Source organism: Homo sapiens, chromosome X (assembly GCF_000001405.40).
Source record: "Homo sapiens chromosome X, GRCh38.p14 Primary Assembly".
NCBI classification, from domain to species: Eukaryota; Metazoa; Chordata; class Mammalia; order Primates; family Hominidae; genus Homo; species Homo sapiens.
The window spans coordinates 16,059,917-16,084,458 of NC_000023.11; the positions used below are offsets into that span (position 1 = coordinate 16,059,917).

The 24,542-nt window shown below is 36.9% G+C and overlaps 1 annotated feature.

The window, feature by feature from the left end:
- Nucleotides 16,836–17,337: an enhancer, noted in NCBI's record as "NANOG-H3K4me1 hESC enhancer chrX:16094875-16095376 (GRCh37/hg19 assembly coordinates)". NCBI's record gives its function as "activates a minimal SCP1, AML or CMV promoter by ChIP-STARR-seq in primed H9 embryonic stem cells {active_cell/tissue: H9 hESC(primed)}" and the evidence as "EXISTENCE:reporter gene assay evidence [ECO:0000049][PMID:30033119]".

Consider the following 24,542-nt stretch of genomic DNA (forward strand, 5'->3'; position numbering starts at 1 on the left):
TGGTGATTCTTGTGCAAGGTGTTTTGTGATGGAATACTCACAGGAGAAGGTGAGTGAAAAAAGCAGGAAAAAGCTAAGTGTAGTCATAGCTAAGGACCAGCCTCAGCCTCATCAGATGGTGAACTATGGAGAATGAATGGCAAGCACCACAGTGTGGTTCCATATGGAGGCAAAGAGGTTGATCGTTTTTTTATATCCGTGTCAGTCAACAGACAATTGTCAGCTGTGAGCTGCCTCCTTTGCTCATGTCTGTGTGTGTGTGTGTGTGTGTGTGTGTGTGTGTATGTTTGAGTGTAAAAACCTCCTTGGTAAGTCAGTTCTCTCCTGACCAAAAATGATCCTGGAAGGTGGCAGCTGTGACCTATTAGCAACTCAGAATCACTACAGCTAGAGGACTGATGCCCCATCCAGTTTCAGGGCATCTGGGAAGGGCACCAACAGTGTCCACTACATCCCCTCATGTTCTGTTTCGTTTTTACAGTCTTGATCCTCCACAGTTCCTCCCTTTGGCTGGACTGTCACTTCAGCATATGATTTATGGACAACCTGATTTATCTGTGTTTTTACCTCTTAGAAAACTCTGTGCTTCACAGTGGGGCTATTATGTGTCTGTTCTATGTCAAATACTGTGTTAGATAAACGCCAGTCTTCAATGAAAATGAATAGCACAGGTCTATTTACTTAGCATTAGCATAGGTTATTTCAGACATTATTTGCCTCCAGGAAAACCAAAAAAGCCATAAAAGCAGAGAGCATGAAGGCAGGAAATTAAAAAAAAAATTCTGACAGAAGAATGCTGAAACCTAGATACAGAATCTCCTACTTTCCTCATCAATGTTCCTGATGAAAACATTTCTGTGGTGGTAGGAATGTTCACCAGGAAACTTGGGGTTTATAAGAAGCCAAAAGAGTTTCTTGATGTTGAACTGGCCAATGTTCCTGAGCTTGTTAACAAGCCCCGAGACAGAACTGGCTCCAGGAAAGTTGCGGGGGAAAAAGTATTTTCTTTAAGTTTAAGGAGAAAACTAGGGTTAGATTGTGTATTAATTTTTCATTGCTGCATAACAAAATACCACAATCACAATGGCTTAAAACGACCCACATTTATTATTTCCCAGTTTCCGTGGGTCAGGAGTCCAGGTACTACCTAGCTAAGTTCTCTTCTTAGAGTCTCACTGGGCTGCATAGGTGCCAGCTGGGGCTTCAGTCTCATCTGGAACTTGGGTCCTATTCCAAGCTCTTGTAAATTGTTGGCAGAATTCAGGACTTTTTGGTTGCAGGACTGAGTCCCTTAGCTTCTTAGTAGCTGTCAGCTGGAGACTGCCTTCAGTTTCTAGAGGCCTCCCACAGTTTCCTGCCACATGGCCCTCTCCACAGGCAGTTTGCAACACCACTGTTTGCACCTTCAAGGCCAGCAGGAGAGTGTCTCTCCCCAGTCTGCTAAGAGGGAATCTTACGTAAGGTAAGGTCATCTTATATAAGGAATCTTATATAAGCTAGTCAGTCATGAGAGCGACATCTTGGCACATTTTTCATATTTAGTTGATTGGAAGCAATTCACAATTCCCACCCACACTCAAGGGGTTAGCGGGAATTATACAAGGGTGTGACTCATTGGGAGTTACCTTAGGATGTGTCTGACACAAATAGAAACTGTTTCTTTGGCTCATTTGAAAATTTCCTTAAATATCTATTATCTTTAAAAATAGCTTAATGGGTTTTTTTTTGCTTTTAAAATAAAAAACTCTTTTTTGGTAAAAAGATTATTGAATATGATTATTTATCTCACTTTGAATACTCGTGGGCTACTGGGGAGTCCTACATAGTCTGGCTTCCTGGTACCTGCTGTTCCCCCTGCCTAAAGAGCTCTTATATCAGATATCAGTGCACCATGGTTCTAGGCACATAGTAGGTGCTCAATAAATGTAGTTTGACTAAATGAAGAAATGCATGAAAAAGGGTGTTTTCTTTGCATACAGCAGACACTTGAACTTTTTTTTATACCAAAGAGCTTATCTTAAGTGTATGGTCTCAGCCTACCTTCTCTGCCAATGGAGGATTCAAGAGGAAACAAATAGCCTTTTCAGTACAAAAGTGACAGTAGCATCAAAAGCTATAACTTAGCTGTAGTTTATGGCATGCACAATGAGATTCAAGGTCAGCTATTCATTCTTCTAAAAAATTAAGTAACATTTGGCTTACAAAAGCATAGGCAATATAAGTGCCCAGAGTATTACCTCTCTGAATCACTGCTTCTTGGATTAAGAGCACTATATGGTTTGTATCAGATTGATTGTTGATTGAACGTGATGTGCACGTATGAGTACAGTCCTAGTGGGGCCAACCCAAAGCATAGATGAGCTTCTCAAGCCAGTGAGCACATTTCCGTTATTACTCAAGGGAAAATATATTTGAAGTCAGTTAACTTTTAGCTCTTGTGGAAAGGATGGCCAGCGTGAGTGAAAAAAAATTTATCATAAAGTATCATCTGACTCTTCTAAAGACAATATCCAAGAGTTTTATTATTCATAGTATCTCACTATGAGTGAGACAAAGTAATGGGTCATTCAAGTATCTATTTTGATGAGTTGCTGCTTGGTAAGAAAATTTCATATGTTCATGATTGTGATGGTTAATTTTATGTGGCAACTTGACTGGGCCACTGGGTGCTCAAATATCTAGTCAAACATTATCATAGGTGTGTCTGTAAGGGTATTCTTGGATGAGACTGACATTTGAATTGGTACACTGAGTAAAACAAATTGCTCTCCCTAATGTGAGTGGTCCTTACCCAGTCAGTTGAAGGCTTGAATAGAAAAAAAGGGCCCTAATCTTCCTTTTAATAAGAGGGAATTCTTCCTGCTTGACTGCTTTGAGCTGGGATATCAGTCTATCCTAGTCTTCCAACTTGAACTGGAATATTTGCTCTTCTTGGATGTTGAGCCTCCCAGCTTTCAGACTTGAACTACAGTATTAACTCATCCAGTTCTTGGGCCTTTGGATTCAGACTAGAACTATACATTGACTCTCTTGGGTCTCCAGCTTGGTGACTGCAGGTCTTGGGATTTCTCAGCCTCTGCAATCATGTGAGCCAATTTCCTTGCTTCCTAAATTCTCTTCCAGTGGCAGTTCCAAACTTTACAACTTCTTTAAAGCTCCTAAACTAATTTTGCTCAATTTCAGACAATGAACTAGGACACAGATTCAATGAACTTGAAGTCTTGAGTCTTGACCCAACTGACATCCCTTGGCGCCCCTTGTCTGAAGGTCACAGCACCTGTCAGATAGCCCTTTCCATACAGTTTGTGTTCTCTCTCTTCTAATAACGGTTTCATCCTCATTATTTCAGGCTAGGAGTGGGAAACTGGGCTCAGTTGTTGAGTCATGGGTTGCTACACCATTCCTTGTGTAATTTTCCTGCTCTCCACTCACATCTTCATATACAGTCTCTTTTAAAAAAAAAAAACTTCATATTTTGAAATAATTATAGACTCATAACAAGTTACAAAAATAGTACAGAGAGGTTCTAAGTACCCTTCACTCAGCTTCCTCCAATGATAACATCTTATATACCTAAGAGTACATTATCAAAATAATGAAATTGACATTGGCACAATACTATTGACTAGATTACAGACCTTACCCAGATTTCACCAGTTTTCACATGCCCTCTTTTTTTTGTAGTATAGTCAGATAAACCTTTATCACATGTGTAGATTCACAGAACCACTACCACAATCAAGATAACAATGGTTCCATCTGTATACAATCTCTTTATTAAACTCCTTTCAAATTACCCAGTTTGAGCATGCTCTCTGTTTCTTGCCAGCCCACCTATTGATGCACTCTTAAAAGATTTTTGACATTCTTAGAGTGAGGGTCTTGTATTTAAGGATGAGGGCCAAGAAGACAGCAAGCCTCAGACAGAGAAGGGTGCAAAGTGGCAGCTACAAAGTAAAAATGGCAGTTGGGCCACTCTTGGCAAAGAATATCTGAGACAGATTCCAGAATGATATGAGATAATCTGAAGGTTTTATTTTATAGCAGTTGTTCTCAAGCCTAACTGTGCATCAGAATCATCCAGAGAGCATTAAAAATAAAACAAAAAACAATCAATCCAACAAATGAACAAAAAAACAAAACAATAACAGAGACTTGGGCCCCATCCCCAGAGGTTCTGATTTATTTAGTTCAGAGCGGAGTCCAAGGATGGAAACTTTTTGCAAGTTCCTTAGATGATTCTAACATACAGCCAAGGTTGTGAGCCAGTGTTTTATAGCATCTGGGTTTTGTGTCTTAACTACAAAAGCCATTCCTACTCAAGATTGTATTTTTATAAAAGACAACTTCCAGCTTTCCTGCATATTTGCTTTACTTTTTATTACATTTAATTTTTAATACATCGTCAATTTATTTTTGTTGTAGGGAGTGAGAAATGAATTAATTGTATTTTCCCCCAAACAGGAGCTTTGTTGTTCTAGTATCATTTATTGAACAATCCATATTCTCTCCACTGATATAAAATATTACCCTTATGATTTACTAAATTCCTAAATCATTTGACTCTGTTTCTATATTATATTTTGTTGCATTGATCTATCTTTCTATTAAGTTTCAGAATCGAACTATTTTCATTGCAGTCACTTTATAATGCTTTAATTTCTGATGGTAGGGAAAATGGATATTTTTAAGGTATTGAATCTTTCCATTAAAAAAATAGATACTTCTTTAAGTTGATTCCAAGTTTTTGTGCTCTGGAGTTTTAAATTTTTCTCCATATAGATTATGAAACTATAAGTAAGTTTCAAAAATATTTTTCAAGAAATGGATAATGGGGTTCAGGACATACCACTCCAAAATATGGCACCTTGGCTTATTGAATATTTTGATTTGAAGGAATTTGAGAAAATGGCAGAAATAGAAAGGGCTTTCTGACTCTTTCCTGCCTTTCTCCATTACAGCAGGTCATAAAACCTAGGAAGGATTTTCTGACCTTCCCCTGAAGCAGGTCATAAGACTCTCAGATGAGATATGCCTGCATTATGCACAGAGGAAAGGAGCATCCTTATCTCTGAAGACACAGAAAAGAATTTGAACAAACAGGCCTTGCTTGGTTTCCCCCAATTTATAATATTTATCGCACTCTCTCCACCCTTTGTTGTATCATATTTCTTCATGACTCTTAATTCTTCATCAAATCTACTATAAAAACACTCGGGTTTAACTCTTTCTTCAGGTATTTATTTCCTTATGAAGGCTCCTGTGTCACATCAAACTTATATTAAATAAATTTCTATGCTTTTCTCTTAATCTTTTTATTTTTTATTTATTTATTTATTTTGTTACAGGGGCCCCAGCAATGAACCTAAGATGGGTAGAAGGAAAGGTATTTTCCTCCTCTATGTGATATAACTCCCAATCCACTAAAATTAATTTTGAGCCAGAGGCAGCAAAATAAATAAATAAATAAATAAATTAGCCTATGTAACTTTATCCTTGATCATAAATGATAAAAATAAATATTTGTCTTGTGTAATTTCTTATGGAAATAAAATGCTTCTTTATTTGACATGATTAGCAAATGTGTGCTACTTTATCAAGAATCCTGGCATGTTACACGTGGAGTAGTAATTTTCAAAACCTATAACCTAATAAAATACTAGTGACTAAAACAGTAAAGTAAAATGTATTTTTTTAAGAGTCAGAAGGTACGTGTCTTTATAATAAGAACAGTGTACTGTAGCTGCTAATGGAAAATGTAGATGAATGAAGGCTAGATAAAAAACGACTTTTCAGAAAACAAGTACTCCCCACAATTACTCGGGTTAGAAGGTGCTCATTTTTACCCATTTTATTCCTGCAAGTTAAAAGTCCTATAGTCAGAATAGCCAGTCATGAGATACAGAGAAACTTGAATTTCTAAAATGAATGATGAGATGAATCCATATCAAGACATAAGTGCTCAAATTTTTTTTTTTTTTTTTTTGAGACGGAGTTTTGCTCTTGTTGCCCAGGCTGGAGTGCAATGGTGCAATCTCAGCTCACCGCAACCTTCGCCTCCCAGGTTCAAGCAATTCTCCTGCCTCAGCCTCCGAAGTAGCTGGGATTACAGACATGTGCCACCATGCCTGGCTAATTTTTTTTGTAGTTTTAGTAGAGACGGGGTTTCTCCATGTTGGTCAGGCTGGTCTCGAACTCCTGACCTCAGATGATCCACCCACCTCGGCCTCCCAAAGTGCTGGGATTACAGGCGTGAGCCACTGTGCCCGGCCTTTTTTTTGTTTGTTTGTTTTTGTTTTGTTTTTTTGAGACGGAGTCTCGCTCTGTCACCCAGGCTGGAGTGCAGTGGCGCAATCTCAGCTCACTGCAACCTCCGCCTCCTAGGTTCACGCCATTCTCCTGCCTCAGCCTCCTGAGTAGCTGGGACTACAGGCGCCCGCCACCACGCCTGGCTAATTTTTTGTATTTTTAGTAGAGATGGGGTTTCACTGTGTTAGCCAGGATGGTCTCGATCTCCTGACCTCGTGATCCGCCCGCCTCGGCCTCCCAAAGTGCTGGGATTACAGGCATGAGCCAACGTGCCCGGCCTAAGTGCTCCAATATTTTTTAAAGTTTTAAATATTTACTGACCAATTCAAATCCATTTGCTGAAAGTCCTTCCTCCTTATCCTGTGTCAGCTAAAGGCTTTCGGTTAATGGATACTATTTGTGGTTTCATCAGTTAATGGATACTATTTGTGGTTTCACAAAGAGTTAACATCTTTAAGGTATGTGGTGAAAATTCTGGAATAGGAAGACGGGAAACACTCACATAAGCTTTAGAAATTTTACTTGGATATTGTCTTAGTCTGTTTTCTGCTGCTGTAACTGAATATCTAAGACTGAGTAGTTTATTTTTTTAAAACAAAAGAAAATTATTTTGGACAGTTTTGGAGGCTGGGAAGACAAAAGGCATGGTGGCAGTTTCTGGCAAGGGCTTTCATATTGCATCGTAACATGGTGGAAAAGTGAAAGGGCAAGCGAGTGTGTGTGAAAGAGACAAAACATGAGGGCAGGCTCACTTTATAACAACCCACTCTTGAAGTAACCAACCAATCCCATCCTGAGAGAGTGAGAACTCACTCCCTCAAAAATTAACCCAATCTCATGAGAGTGATATTTATCCATCTTAATGACTTAATCACCTCTTAAAAGCCCCACGTCTTACTACTGTTACATTAGGGATTAAGTTTCAAGATGGGTTTTGGAGGGTACAAACATTCAAACCATAGCAGATATGCATATGACAAATAGTGGCACATTAAAATTATGAAGAAACTGCAGCCATGACTAAGCAATGCTTTTTATGTAACATAGGAAAAACAAAAGTATTCATGGCTACTATGTGTGTGCATACATATGAATGTATGTTTTATGTACTGAGTATATATATATATATGCATGTATCTGTGCGTTAATACATATGTATATTTCTATATATAATGTCTGTAATTAGCTTAGACTATTCTTTTGGACATAAATAAGCAGGGTGAATCTTGGAATAACATTTGTGGAGCTACACCACTAACAAATATTGGCATATCTGACTGCAGAAATTAGACTTTAAACAACTTTTGTTAGTATTAGTAACAGTTATTAGTTATTAGTAAGTACAACACTATTGAAGTCATATTGTTTTGGCTTTCTTTGACTTGTAAGCTACTTACATAAAAGTGGGTTGGTTTGCACGTTCTCACTCGTAGGTAGGAGTTGAACAATGGGAACATATGGACACAGGGTGGGGAACATCACACACCAGGGCCTATTGGGGGGTGGGGGCCTGGGGGAGGGATGGCATTAGGAGAAATACCCAATGTAAGTGACGAGTTGATAGATGCAGAAAACCAATATGGCACATGTATACCTATGTAACAAACCTGCATGTTGTGCACATGTACCCTAGAACTTAGAGTATAATAAAAAAAGAAATTGAAAAAAAAAGTGGGTTGGTTCACTGTATGTAAATATGCTTTCTTCAAAACAACAGTGTTTTATCCCCATTGTAAATAAGACAGCAGCCTCCTTTCTCTTTTTAAACAATGCAGTTGTTTGCTTACTTTTGAATATCTAATTGTAAGGTCCTGGAAACTGGCCTATGTGATTTAGAAAGCAAAGACAGACCACTGAAACCTTGCTTCTGCTCTTAGGCAATGCCTGTGGCACATCAGCAACTTTTCCCTCTTCCTCTAAGATAGAGCCAATTGTTGTTCACACTTGTTTGCTGGGCAAGCAAATCAACTGATCGATCCTCCTGTGTGTCAAATAGTATCAGTAGAGTACTGAAGTGTTCAAACCAGCACACACTTGCCTTCTATGTGAATAGCAGGATTGATTCCTAGGGAGTGTTTAATTTAGTATTTTGAGAGTATGTATTTGCATTTTGACCACTAAATAAGTTATTTATAACTATGCAAATATTATATGATTAGACTTGGTTTTAAATTTGTAATACTTTCATAACACTAAAAATATTTATTAAGATAATCTTTATGAATCAAGTATTTTTATATTTCCAGTAAGAGGATAAAAATACCTTTTCATATTTATATTTGAGTATCTGTGACACTACTGTTTTCTTTGTACCAATTTGGAGATTCCAGAAACCTGACATAATTTAAAGAGCTTTCATCCTTTTAATTTTCTTCAAACAAATCAAACTCAAGAGATGAAAGAATACAGGAAATGTTTCTGTGAAACTATACATAGGAAAAAGGCCATTTAAGTTTTCTTTCTGTCAAACATTATGTGTGGATTGAAGGTGTTATGAATGTAAAATGGAAAGTTAATTTTTCTTCCTGGTGTATAAGAGCAGGACTGGCTAAATTATGGCAATGCAGAGTCCTTTGTTTAAAATTATGATTATTATTGGCTTAAACAACAGAAATTTATTTTCTAACAGTTTTGGTTCCAGGAAGCTCCAGATCAAGGTGCCAGCAGGGTTGGTTTCCTCTGAGACTTCTATACTTGATTTATAGATGGCTACCCTGTTCACATGGTCATCCCTCTGTGCATGCAGGCCCCTTTTTATAAGGACACCAGTCATATTGGATTCGGGCCCCACCCTAGTAAAAAAAATAAATTTAGGAGGTACAAGTGTAGTTTTGTTACATGAATATACTGTGTAGTGGTGAAATCTGGCCTTTTAATGTAACAATCACCTGAATAGTATATACAATATATCCATTAGGTAATTTCTCATTTCTCACCCCTCTCCTACACTCTCACCTTCTGGAGTTTCCAGTGTCTATTATTCCACTCTGTATGTCCATGTGTATCCATTGTTTAGCTCTCACTTGTAAGTGAAAACATGCAGTTTTTTAAAGTTTTAATTTTTAAAATTTTAATTTTTGTGGCTACATAGGTGTATTTATTTCTGGGGTACATGAGATACTTTGATACAGGCATGCAATGCATAATAATCACATCATGTAGAATGGGGTATCCTTCCCCTCAAGCATCCTCCTTAGTGTTAAAGCAATCCAATTATACTTTTTTAGTCATTTTTAAATGTACAATTAAATTACTATTGACTATAGTCACCCTGTTGTGCTGTCAAATAGTAGGTCTCATTCATTCTAACTATTTTTTGTACCCATTAACCATTGCCACCACCCCCCAATTCCCCATTACCCTTTCCAGCTGCTAGTATCCATCCTTCTACTCTCTATGTCCATGAGTTCAGTTGTTTTGATTTTTAAATCCTACAAATAAGTGAGAACATGTGATGTTTGTCTTTCTGTGCCTGGCTTATTTCACTTAACATATTGATCTCCAGTTCCATCCATTTTGTTGCAAGTGACAGGATCGCATTCTTTTTTATGGGCAAATATTACTCCATTGTGTATAAGCACCAAATTTTCTTTATCTATTTATCTGTTGATGGACACTTAGGTTGCTTCCAAATCTTGGCTATTGTGAACAGAGCTGTAACAAATGTGGGAGTGCAGATATCTCTTCAATAAACTGATATCCTTTTTTTGGGGGGTATATACTCAGCAGAGGGATTGCTGGGTCATACGGTAGGTCTATTTTCAGTTTTATGAGGAATCTCCAAACTATTCTCCGTAGTGGTTGTACTAATCTACATTCCCACCAACAGTGTATGAGGGTTCCCTTTTATCCACATCCTTGCCGTCATTTGCTATTGCCTGTCTATGGATGTAAGCCATTTTAACTTGAGTGAAATAATATCTCATTGTAGTTTTGATTTGCATTTCTCTGATGATCAATGTTATTGAGCACCTTTTCATATGCCTGTTTGCCATTGGTATGTCTTCCTTGGAGAAGTCTATTCTTGTGAAATGTCTATTCAAATGTTTTGCCCATTTTTTGATGGGATTATTAGATTTTTTCCTATAGAGTTGTTTGAACTCCTTATATATTCTGGTTATTAATCCTTTGTCAGATGGGTACTTTGCAAATATTTTCTCCCATTCTGTGGGTTGTCTGTTGACTTTGTTCATTGTTTCCTTTGCTGTGCAAAAGCTTTTTAATCTGATGTGACCCTATTTGTCCTTTTTTTTTTTTTTTGATTGCCTGTGCTCACGGGGTGTTACTCAAGAAATTTTTGCCCAGACCAGTGTTCTGGAGAGTTTTCTCAATGTTTACTTGTAGTAGTTTCATAGTTTGAGGTCTTAGATTTAAGTATTTAATCTATTTTTATTTGATTTTTGTATATGGTGAGAGATAGGGTTTAGTTTCACTCTTCTGCATATGGATATCCAGCTTTCCCAGCACCATATATTGAAGAGACTATCTTTTACCCAGTGTATGTTCTTGGCATCTTTGTCAAAAATTAGTTCACTGTAGGTGTGTGGATTTGTTTCTGAGTTCTCTATTGTTTCATTGGTCTGTGTGTCTGTTTTTATTCCAGTAGCATGCTGTTTTGTATTCTCCCCTCTTTTTTTTTTTTTCTTCCTACAATAGCTTTGGCCATTCTGGGTCTTTTGTGGTTCCATATAAATTTCAGGATTATTTTTTTCGTTCTGTGAAGAACATCTTTGGTATTTTGATAGGGATAGCATTGAATCTGTAGATTGCTTTGGGTAGTACAGGCATTTTAACAATATCGATTCTTCCAAACCATGAACATGGAACATATTTCCAATTTTTGGTTTCTTCTTCAATTCCTTTCATCAGTGTTTTATAGTTTTAATTATAGAGAACTTTTACATCTTAGGTTAATTCCTACGTATCTAATTTTATTTGTGGCTATTTTAAATGGGATTACTTTTTAAAATTTCTTTTTCAGATTGTTCACTGTTGGCATATAGAAATGCTACTGATTTTTGTATGTTGGTTTTGTATTCTGCAACTTTACTGAATTTTTTTATCAGTTCTAATAGTTTTTTGGTGGAGTCTAGGTTTTTCCAAATATAAGATCATATCATTGGCAAACAAGGGTCATTTGACTTTTTTCTTTCCAATTTGGATGCCCTTTATTTATTTCTCTTATCTCTTTGCTCTAGCCAGGACTTCCAGTGCTATGTTGAATAATAGTGGTGAAAGTGGGCATCCTTGTCATGTTACACATCTTAGAGGAAAGGCTTTCAGTTTTTCCCCATTCAGTATGATATGAGCTATGGGTCTGTCATATATGGCTTTTACTATGTTGAGGTGTGTTCCTTCCCTACCTAGTTTTTTGAGAGTTTTTATCATGAGAGGATGTTAAATTTTATCAAATGATTTTTAGCATCAATTGAAATGATCATATGGTTTTTGTCCTTCATCCTGTTGATATGATGTATCACATTGATTTGTGTATGTTGAACCATCCTTGCATCCCTGGGATAAATCCAACTTGGTCATGAGGAATGATTTTTTTAGTGTATTTTTGAATTTGGTTTGCTAGTATTTTGTTGAGGATTTTTGTATCAGTATTCATCAGAGATATTAGCCTGTAGTTTTCTACAGGCTAACATCTCTGTATACGTCTGTCTGTCTGGTTTTGATATCTGGCCTTATAGAATGAGTTTAGAAGTATTCCCTCCTCATCTATTTTTCAGAACAGTTTGAGTAGGATTGGTATGAGTTATTCTCTAAATGTTTGGTAGAATTCAGCAGTGAAGCCATTGGGTCCTGGGCTTTTCTTTACTGGGAGCCTTTTTTATGGCTTTGATCTTGTTACTTGTTATTGGTCTGTTCAAGTTTTGGATTTCTTCCTGGTTCAATATTGATAGGCTGTAAAAAAGGGGACATTACAACTGAAACAGCAGAAATTCAAAGGATCATTAGTGGCTACTATGAGCAACTATATGCCAACAAGTTGGAAAATCTAGAAGATCAGAGATTTTATTTATTTGGGTCTTCTCAGTTTTTTTCTTAGGCTAAAGGTTTGTCAATTTTGCTTAATTTTTCAAAAAAACAACTTTTTGTTTCATTGATCTTTTCTATTGTTTTCTTCATTTCAATTTCATTCATTTCTGCTTTGATATTTATTATTTCTTTTTTTCTACTAATATTGGATTTGGTTTGCTCTTGCTTTTCTAGTTCTTTAACATGCATCATTATATTGTTTATTTGAATATTTTCTTCTTTTTTGATGTAGGCAATTATACCTATAAACTTCCCTCTTAGTACTGCTTTTGCTGCATACCATAGGTTTTTGTCTATTGTGTTTCTGTTATCATTTGTTTCAAGAAATGTTTCCATTTTATTCTTAATTTTGTCATTGACCCACTGGTCATGCAGCAGCATGTTGTTTAATTTCCATGTATTTGTGTGGTTTCCAAAATTCCTCTTGTTATCAATTTCTAGTTTTATTCCATTATGGTCAGAGAAGATGCTTGATATTCTTTTAATTGTTTTGAATATTTTAAGACTTGTTTTGTGACATAACATATGATCTGTCCTTGAGAATGATCCATGTACTGAGGAGAAGAAGGTGAATTCTGCAGCCATTGGATGAAATGTTTTATAAATACTTATTAGGTTCATTTGGTCTATAGTGCAGATTAAGTTTGATGTTTCTTTGTTGATTTTCTGTCTGGAAGAGCAGTCCAATGCTGAAAGTAGAGTGTTGAAGTCTCTAGCTATTATTGTATTGGAGTCTATATCTATCTTCAGCTCTAATAATATTTGCTTTATATATCTGGTTGTTCCAGTGTCAGGTACATATACATTTTAAATTGTTATATTCTCTTGAGGATATAATTGAGGTTTTTGTGATTACTTTTAATGGCAAAAACCGCAATTACTTTTGCACCAACCTACTACACGTGTAACTCAACTGAATCCTTCCAGGCAATACCTTAGTTTTGGCTTTCTTCATTTCTGAACCTCATTACTTTATGTTTTTGTTTCTAATTTTCTCCCCATCTTCAGTATTACTTTTTACTCCCAATCAACACCCCTGTAGGGGTTGAATAGTGTCCCCCCAAAATTTATATCCACCTGGAACTTCAGAATGTGACCTCATTTGGAAATGAGGTTTTGCACATGTAAGTAGTTAGGATCATGAGATTATATTATACTGGATTTTGGGTGGGTCTTAAGTCCAATGACTGGTGTCTTTATAAGAGGATATAGAAACACAGAGAAGATAATGTGAAGATGGAGGCAGAGGTTGAAGTGATACGTCTACAAGCCAAGGAATGCTGGGAGCCACCAGAAGCTGGAAGAGACAAGGAAGGATTTTCTCCTAGAACCTTTGGAGTGAGTGTGGCCCTGTTGTCATCTTGGTTTTGGACTTTTGGTCTTTAGAATTGTGAGACAATGAATTTGTTTTAAACCACCAAGTTTGTGGTAATTTGTTACGGCAGCCCTAGGAAACTAATATGACCACTACACACACACAATTGATCCCACACTGCAGCAAAGTTCTGTCTTTCTTTTTCTTTCTTCTTTCTTTCTTTCTCTTTTTTCTTTCTTTCTTTCTTTTTTCTTCCTTCCTTCCTTCCTTCCTTCTTCCTTTCTTTCTCTTTTTCTTCTTCCTTTTCTGTTTTGTGTATGTGTGTATTTGTTTTTATTTTTTATGACAAAACATATTTAAAACATATTCAAAAGAAGACAGAATGTATAATGAACCTCCATGTACCTATTTCCCCAGCTTCAACAGTTATCAACTCATGACCAATCTTGTTTCATCTCTACTTCCACCAGCTTCCCCTATCTACTGTCTTATTTTGAAGCTGATCACAGACATTGTATCCTTACATCCATAAACATTTCAGAATATATCTCTCAAAAGCAAAGACTCTTTTTGTTTTAAGTGAACTACAATAAAGGGCTGTCTTTCCAAGATGAAAAGTTCCTAGTATTATTCCTCTGCTTAAAAGATTTAATGTCTTCTCCGGTATAAAAAGTAATCTCATTAATTTGGCATTCACCGAGGCTTGGTTTTTGTTTTTGTTTTAGAATCTGAAATGGCCCTGTTTATCTCTCCAACCTCATGGTCCAACATTCTCCCTGTTCACATCATGTCCTAGATATTCTAAACTAGCAGATGAAACCATAAGAAATTATCATGTCTATAGACCAAAGTTGGTCAAACATTGGCAACTTCATATAATTCAACCTAATATAATTGACACTAGGCTCTCTTCTTTTTGGACTTGCTTCACCAGGTTCACACTTTGGTTTTTGGATTTTTCACATAGTGATGTAATTGTTTACCTGCCTATCTCTTCACCTAGTGGATAAACTCTCTGAAGGCAGGGATGAGGGCTTTTCTCTGTGTGTCTCCAGATTTCTGGTACAAGGCCAATGCTTAATAAATATTGTTAAAAAAAAATCAGTTACTTCATTTGCTACAGTCATCCACAAGGTCCCCCTGCCCCGATTCCATAGACAGTCTCTGAAGTTACATAATTCTGAAACTATCTATATACTCTTTTCTTTTTATCACTTAAAAAAGTATACAAGGAGGTAAAATATCATGTTGCTTTTCCTTTTCATTTTAGAAGATGAAACCTTTAAGTGCCCCCTCGGGGATGTTGCTTTTCTCTCCTGTGCTGCTGTCAGCTGCCCCTATATATAGCAGAGCATTGGCAATATGTTCTGTTCTAGGGGCTAAAATCTAGTGTCTTCATATAGTGGATTAGACTAGATAAGGAAAAATAAAGTTGAGTTTAGCTAACAGTGCAATAATTCTCCTGGTATTCATTTACTACTTTACAAGGGGAGAATCCAATTTGTGTGCAATTTTTCCTCGTTTTAAAAGTTATTTTTAAGATGAGCTCTCAATCATGAAAGATGAGTCATCTATTAGTTTATCTGTTTTGGTAAACCACTCTAAAACTTAGAGGTTTAAGACAACAATTTTATTTTGATTATGATTTAATAGGTCAGGAATTCAGATGGCTTAGATGGACAGCTCCTTTCTGCTCCATGTGTTCCTGGCTGAGGCAGAAAGCAGGTGGCAGTTGGAGAGCAGAGTTCTCTTCCAAGATGGCTTCTTCACTCACATATCTGATGTCTTAGGGCTCACTGAGCTCTTTCCATACATGTCTAATCCTTTGGGGCCTTTCCACATGGCTTGAGATTATCAGAGCATGTTTGGCTCAGGGTGGTCACACTTCTTACATGGCAGCTGGTTTCCAAGAGAGAAAGTAGACACTGTCAGGCCTCTTAAAGGGTTAAGTCTGGAATGGATACAGTTTCATTTCTGCTGCATTCTGTTGTTAAAGCAATTCCAGCCTAGCCCAGATCCAAGGGAGTGGAGAAATAGACTATATTTCTAAATGGAAACAGTGGACAAAATGTGTGTCCACTTTTAATTTGATACATCATCTTTCAGTTATTGTTTGGACATGGGAGGCCTGAATCACATATCTGGAGCTATTCATGAGTTTGTAATGAGGTCCTGCTGACCTTGGATCTTCTGGCTGTGTAATTATCTTATTCTGGTTTAACATCCTCACTGAGTTCACACAAATATTGAACATTTTGAAAATATTAACTAATGAAAATTCTATCACCTTTTATTTGGTGGTTGAAAATGCCAATGTTTTTATCTTGCAAAAACAATTTTTTTCCTCTCCCAGTACCCCAAAATATTCTCTGGAAGAAGGCTGGAAAATGACAATTTAAGTAGAAATGTTGATTTAAGGATACTAGTGTGATGAAATCTTGCAAGAAGCAAAATTCAGCGGAAGTCAGGTTCTTCTTGGGCCACATGTTTTACACACATACACATATACACGCATATATGTATATATTATATATATATATAACTCGGGTACAATGGGATGCTATGATAAATCTGTTTCATCTATGCGTTATTTTAATATATACCTTAGGCTTGTAGGTAAGCCTTAGGGGTGTTTCATATTGCATAGGATCAAGATAAAAGAGACTGTTTAATATTGACCTTTTTATATTTCTAGTAAAAGCAAAAATCGCTTGAAGTTAAGGCTGTTTACATCACAATCTGAGATACTGAGGGAGACTCGCCATGCCCACCTATTGCTCAGATATTTAACGTTTGGAATACTATTTAATATTTAAAAATGTTTTTCTATTTCTAATTATTTTTGACAACTGCAATCTCATTATAAGTTCATTCCTTCCATTTTGTCAGTATGATTACAACATCATGCCTCAGTTTAAACAGCTGTAGTCCATTGAGGGTTAGAACGTCAACATCCAAATATATATGTGTGTGTGTGTGTGTGTGTGTGTGTGTGTATGTAGAGAAAGTTTATTGTTTATGGTTTTCTTTGTTTTTTATTTTGAGTCCACTAAATCTTTAATAGATTAGTATCTACTTCTACTGCAGAGGAAAAAGCAGGATTTTTTTTGTCATTTACTTTTTCCACCATATTTTTATTTATGTCAATGGATGTCACTACCTTCAAAATGAACACATCCGAGTTTAGGTTGAACCAAAATTTATTTCATTATTTCATTTGCGAATTTATAAAAGCTTTCATGATATACCTTGAGGCAGCTGGAGAAACCTAAAAGGATTCTCGAATCCAGGACTAAGAATCATTAGGTTAAATCTAGGGATTAGATAAGGCAAAGGTTTATGTTAGAAAGTTTTATAGACCACTTGGCTTTTCTTGAAGATAGTAAATGGGCAGTCTGCTTCTCTGACGTCAGCCAGCTAATGGGCACACCTGTGTGTCTTTATTTCAAGTGAGATCAAGCAACTGTTTGGAAGGACAATACCAATACATGTGTTGATGGTGAGTCAGCAGCATGATATTCAAAAGCAAAGGATTGCATCTTTTGTAGGGGCTATAGTTAGCTGCCTTGGGTATTTATGGCATAATATTAAGAAACATAGCAGCAAAACAACCTCACATAGGATAATTTTGGTAAAATATGCAATACAAATAATCCATTAACAAAAGACAAGCAACACCTGGTGTTTATCAGTAGTAATATATGAAATGAGACACAATTTCCTGTTGGGATTCCTTGCTTGTAATGAGATCAGATGCTGTCTTTTTAGAGCCTTTGTGTTTTATGTGTTGAGAGTAAGTGAAGGTCCTTAGCGCGAAGGAGGAACTTCTATGGAAATATGCTAACTGTGAAGGGAAAGGGGAAGGAAAACTAGGGAAGAACATAGATCCTCAGGAAGCTATAGATGCATTTCTAATAGGTAGCCAGTCTGAAAAATGAATCTGCCTTCATTTACCAATTGATGTAACATTTTAAAAGTAAGGTATCTGAAGAAAATTTAGGCTTTATGATATAAGAATATCATCTTGAATAATTTAACCGGAAAATCTGTGTTTTAGGATAAAATAATAACTTGATCAAATATTGCTAATATTTTTACAAACTTTAGATTTTGCTAGAATATGCTTGTTTGGCACAACAATTAAAGGTTAAATTGAAGCTAGACAGACTTCACAGAACTAAAAATTAATTTGATTTCTATCATCTACTTTCCCCAATGTTCTATAAGAGCTACCCCTGTCATACCATATTTTGTTACATGAGGTAGAAGCACGGCTTTTAGCAATGATCTGGGAAGAAGGGAATTGATAAAGAAAAGCAGTAGAAGCAACAACTGAATAGGAAATGGAATATAAATCATGGTAGCAGAGCAACAGAGCAACTCTGCAGGGTATCTGTGGATTAGTGCTTTCATAATACACAGTTCAGGACTCATGAGATTCAGCTTTGCAAGTCATTAGGTTTCATTAAGTCTATTTCCTTGCTAAAATGATGCCACAGTGAGGTTTATGAAGCAAGGGCCCTAAAAGGGAAAGGGAAGAATCTAGTTGGCATAAAAAGCGGACATCTTCAGGAGAAAAAATAGGAAAATCTGGCTAAGGTGGCAAGCCACCAATCTTGTCTCTCTCCAATTTTCTAATGAGATATACACAATCCTGTGATTTTGCAACTCCCACCCAAAAGTTTTGATGGAACGTCGTCCAGATGGGGATAATTCCCATTCCCAAGAAATATTATCTTATGTGGCTGACTGGCCATTTTCAGTCAGCAGAATGAATGGATCACGTACTAGGAAAATTGAGTTACTTTAGAGTAATACTCAGCTCTCTTTATTGAATGCTTGCATTCAAAAGCTTCTCTGTTATTGAGCTTTAAAGACACACATTATGATATATATCAATGCTACTGTGCTAGAACCAAAGCAAGCTAACTGTGCCTGCCCCCAACATAGGCCATTTGCTACCCTTGGTGTAGTTTTGCTTCAGATTTGTGAACAAAGTATTTGACTGACTGCCTTTTGAAACCCAATCAGTTTGCCTGTAAAGGAGCAGCCAATCTAGTTTTTTCATTTGTTTCTCTATTTTATATGCTGTTTTTAAACATCTCAGTGTGGTTCTAGCCATCAACAAGGACTGTGATTGGCCCACCTGCAATTTTCCTGATTCAGTTTATTTATTATACACTTTAGTATATGCTGGGAAGTGTTGTATGTGTTACAAATATTGATTCATTTAATCCTTACAAGGACCTTGAGGTAAGTTCTATCATTATCTCCATTTTACAGATGGAGAAACTAAAGTACCGAGAGGTTAAGTAACTTGCTCAAGGTCATACAACTAGAAAGTGATGAAGTCGGGAACTGAACCCAGGACACCTAGTTCTAGAATCTAAACCTAACCACCATGTCCACTGTCCTTTGCTTGTCTTCTCTTTACACTCATTTCTTTACACTCCCTTTCACCATTACACTTGATGGAGATGTTCTGCTTTTTGCTGTCATTAGTCTATTATTCAGCTAGAGCAATTTCATTAACATATTGGTGCTTGGCTTCTAGTTAGACGGGGCAGGCGGAGGTAAGATGGTGTGAGATTTCAGTGAGACAGGTGCACATTAAACTGTAAGTCCTGGAAGTGCCATGATTATCATGTAGTCATTGCAGCAGGTTTTCTACCATAGATTTTTCTTCAATGTGGAGTCAGAGGCCTGGATTCAAATCCTGCTGCCATCACTTACTAAATTCTGTGGCCTTGTGCTAATTGCTTACCTCTTCATTTCACAGAATCCTCAACTACAAAATGGAAATTAATCAGAGTACCTACGTTATAAGATTGTCATGGAGGTTAAAGGGGACAATACACATAAACTGCTTAATATGTGCCTGGCACATGATAATTGCTCAGTAAACATTGGCTAAGATTATGATTATTGTGATTGCTATATCAATTTTAACCATGGTTTATCATATAAGACCCAAGCATCAGATAATAGATTGGGTTTATTTTTCAGCTAAGGCCACTCTCAGGCCAAATTCTCTGGGAAAAGTTGGCATCTGATGTTGGTTTATTGAGAAGGAAAGTGGAAGTCATATAGTCTTGGGAAAAAGAACGCTCTGTTTCTACATTCTAATTGTGAAATGTCTCACTCTCCAACATACTGATTTGGGGGAGTAAGAAATAGTACTTGAAATTGGCATGCTGAAATGATTCTCAAAATGGCCTGACACATAGTAGGTACTCAACAAATGTTACCTTCTTACCTTATGTAACCCACACTTATTGTCACTTGCTTGTCACTCTTATTTTTCATATGCTCAAACCTTGGATTTAATCAAACTACAGTCATTGCATTACTTTTCTCTATGCTTTCATTCACCTTATTCCTACATTGAATATCCTCAACTGTCTTTCCATGCTTCCAAGTCCTACACATACCCCAAGGACCAAGTCAAGTATGGTGTCCTCCATGAAGCGTTTCTGAGCCACATGAGCTTACTTACAGGCAAAGAGAAACTGAGAGCAGGAACTGTGTGTGCAAGAACTGAATGTATGACCTTCCAGAGACCCCAAGGTCAACTGTCCTTTCAGAAAGAACAATGACAAGACAGCAACAGTAAACCCAGAAGAACTTAGGACAAGATGACCCAATAGTTGATTACATCCTCCTCCTGAAGATGCTTGGCTGTAGTTTTTCACAGTGTTCTTCAGGTTTTGGAACCAGTGCCAGAGAAGATGGGGAGGGAGCCTGCGTGGCAGAGTCACTGGATTAGAAAGCATTTACCTGGCATCATCCAGAATAAGTTGACTGTCAGGGATCAGGCTGGAGGTCCACAGTCAAAAGTCCATTCTGGAAATAATACTTTTGCTCAAGAGAATTTTGAAGACTGTGAAACTATGAAATTCCCTGCCTATTGCTAATCAAAAATACTCTTTAGATATAAAATTTAGATAGAAAAATTATCTAAAACCTTGGAAATAAGGCAAAAGGATGACTGTATGTTCTTTCAGTGACGTACGGGAGCTCTTCCTAACAGGCCCATCCAAGGATTACTTAATTTTAGAAGGAAATGTACTTTCACTCGATTTACTATTTATTCCTTTTATTTTTTCTTTTTGAGAGACAGGGTCTCAGTTTGTTGCCCAGGCTGGAGTGCAGAGACGTAATCATGGCTCACTGCAGCCTTGATCTTCTGGTCTCAAGCGATCCTCCCACCTCAGCCTCCCTAGTAGCTGGGACTACAAGCATGTGCCACCATGCCTGGCTAATTTTTTTAATTTTCTGTAGACATGGAGTCTTGCTATGTTGCCTAGGCTGGTCTCCACCTCCTGGTCTGAAACGATCCTCCTGCCTTGGCCTCCCAAAGTGCTGGGATTACAGACATGAGCCACTGCACCTGGCCTAATTTACTATTTTGATTAAGAGCCAGACTCTGAGAGGGAACCATTTTTTGTCTGGTTGAGATGTAAATAATTTCTGTCCCGTAAAATAAATAGCCCCAAAAGATATTTTTGTTGCTCTGTAGGGTATTAGCTACTTTTGTATCTAAGTAAGTAAGTTTTTTTCTTTTTCCCTGTATTAGGAATTCATAATTTAGTAATCTTATTCCTGCATTCCCTCTTTCAGTGCCTGTGTATACTTGGTCTCTCAAATTCTGCTTTGAACCAGCTTTACTATCCTGTTATTATCTGATTAATGAGATAAATAAATCAATATGTGCTCACTTTGTATTCATATGAGAGTCATGTTTTCAATGTTTAGAGTATCATGCTTTGATAAACGCCGGTCTGAAAGTTAGAATTTTTACAGAGAAGTATTAATGCCTCTGAGAAAGAATTTTAAAAATAAAACTCAGTGTGAAAGTTTTTCTTCTTCTAGCAAATTTGGAACAGTCAGATGAGAGGTAAACAGCCAGAACATTTAGTTGCTAATGATAGACAGTGAGTCCAGACAGCACTGTTCTGAATGTTGCAAATGTGATCATCAGAAAAAAGTATTAGGAGTGAGGTAGTGCATAACAAAGAGCTGAGCTGGATAATTTGCCAGGTGAGTGTTTGACTTTTTTGAAAAAAAAAAAAAAGAAAAAAAAAGAAAGAAAATTGGATTCATTTAACTTTAAAATCTGTGTCAGTTTTGAATGTAAGATAAACTATTACTTGACAGTTCTTCCTACCTAACAGAAACCCATAAAAATGAATTGAGATGAAAATGCTCTAGCTCTTTTATTCTTTTGGTTGAACATGTAATTTTCAACAATCCTCTCAATTCTTTTCATTGTTTGCCATGTATCCATGGGTATGTGTCAAGGTTAAAAAACTTACTTGGAGATACTACTATCTTTTGTTCTGAGATATTTGACAGGTTTCAGGTGTGTTTTTCCTCATAAACTTCTGGAAGAGACATTGGTGCTCCCATAATGGAGATGTGTGGGGGTTTGGAGACTGGAGGCAGTGTGATGTGGTGGTAAAAAGTTCAGGCTCACCAGGCAAATTGTCTGGTTCAAATCCAGGGCCTACTACTTTCCAGATATATGCCAATTATTTAACCTCTCTAAGCTTTAGTTTCTTCTCCTGTTAAATGAGGATAATAATAGAACTTCTCAGAGTCCTTCTGGGGGGCTTGGCATAGTGACTGGCAAATGGCAAGCATTCAATAAGAGGGTGCTATTATTATTTATTGGGTAAGTAACATGTGAATGTGCAAATTTTCCCCATTTTGTATATGGCTTACTTTTTGGGTGTCTCTTTAACCATTTCTCCTCTTTCTCCCCCTTACCCATTACGGCCAAAGGGAAAAATCAATAGGATTTTAGTATCCATTTATGTTTATCAAATAACGTTGTTACCCTATCTTATTTGAAAGCAAAACAAAACAAATATCAGAAAAGTTAAATATCTCCTATTTCTGAAGGAAAGAATTTATTGTTACATTCTTTCCCATAAGTGTATCGTTAACTTTTTCTTTGTGGACCACAATGTCCTTTCCCCAGTCCCGTAGGATTGTTTGACTTTTGCTGAAACTTCTAGCCCAGTTGTGCGGAGTAGGTCACTGCTCTCTCTTCATTCCTACAGTGGCAGTCTGGGAGTAACCTGATGCTTTAGCTTTACTTGAGAAGGAAGAAACATCCACGTCAGTCATGGTTTAAGCTGCGTTCCCAGCCCTGGTTTTATCAAGTATGACAGCCTAATTATAAGGCTTCCTACACGAGTTAATGTAGGCAACCAAGATCTTCTTGTCCTAATGTGGGTCTCTTGTGTTGTAATGCAGTCCTTTTCTAGCATGTTCATAGAACGTGTTTATTTGAGACTAATCCTTCAAGAGACTCTGGATAATTTCACCCTCAAATTTCCTAACGTTGTCTGAGATAATCTACTTATATGACAACGCCAGGGGCCTTGGACAGCGTATGAAGGAGGAAATCTAAAGACATCAGAAGTGTTAGTGCTTAATGCAAATATTAATCATGATAAGGTGCACAACTGGACAGGGGCATTCAGGGTTGACAAGAATTCATATGAGAAATCCCAGCTGGTGGAGGTAAGAATTTTTGTTAACTGCCAGCCCAACATGTGCCAGCAGCATAGTTCAGCTGAGGATGTCAGAAAAGAGAATAGACTGGGCTATAATTTTGTGTTTTCCCTACTATAAAGTGCAAGTTGGAGCTTAGCAGTCATTCACTTGGGCTGTTGTATGAAATTTTCTGGCATCAAAATGGAGGAGATTAAGCTAAAATGATCCTTGTGGTCCCTTAAAACTGTAAAATTGGATGCTGCGATGTTTCTTTCTCTAATTTTTTAAATAATAAAGTATAATTTATCTTTAACAAAATGTACAGATACTAAACGTAATGTTTGATGAGGTCTGACAAAGGTATACACCTGTGTAACCCCTCCTCAGTCAATATATAGAACATTTTCATCACCCCATAACGTTTCTTGTGGCCATCTACCATCAATGTCCCTTCCCCATAGGTAATCACTGTTATGATTCCTATTAACATAGATTCTCGAACTTTATGTAAATGGAACTATAATAGTACAGTCATACATTGCTTAACAATGGGGATGCATTCTGAGAAATGCATCATTAGGCAATTTTGTCATTGTGTGAACATCATAGAGTGTATTTACATGGACCTACATGGTATATCCTCCTACACACCTAGACTAGATGGTATAGCCTATTGCTCCTAGGCTACAAACCTGTACAGCATGTTACTGTACTACTATAGGCAAATGCAACACAATGGTAAGTATGTGTGCATCTAAGCATATGTAAACATTGAAAAGGTGCAGTAATAATATGGTATTATGATTTTTATGAGACCACTGTCATATATGCTGTCATTGACCAAAATGTCATTATGTGGTGCCTGAGTATATGTACTTATTTATATCTGGCTTCTTTCACTTAACATAGTGTTTGTGAGATTCATTCATGTTGTTAAATGTACCGTGGTTCTTTCTGTTTTATTGCTGAGTTGTATTCCATTGTATGGGTATACCAAAATTTGTTTATCCATTCTCCTATTGATAGACATTTGAGTTTTGGGCTATTATGAATGAAGCAGAATAAATATTCTTGTACAAATCTTTAGGTAGACATATTTTTTTTCCTCTTGGATAAATACCTGGGAGTGGAGTTTCTGGGTCATAGGGTAGAGGGATTTAACTTTATAAGGAGCTGCAAAGTTCCTTACTGAAGTTTTCAAAAGTGATCGTATCATTTTACATTTCCACCAGCCATGAATGAGAGTCCAGGTGTCCTACATCCTGGCCACTCTGGTTTTCTTGTCATCACGTGCATCCATTTCCTCTGGGTGTGTTCCTAAGGAAACCAGAGAGATGACCACTGTTACTAGCAAAAGTTCACTTGAAAA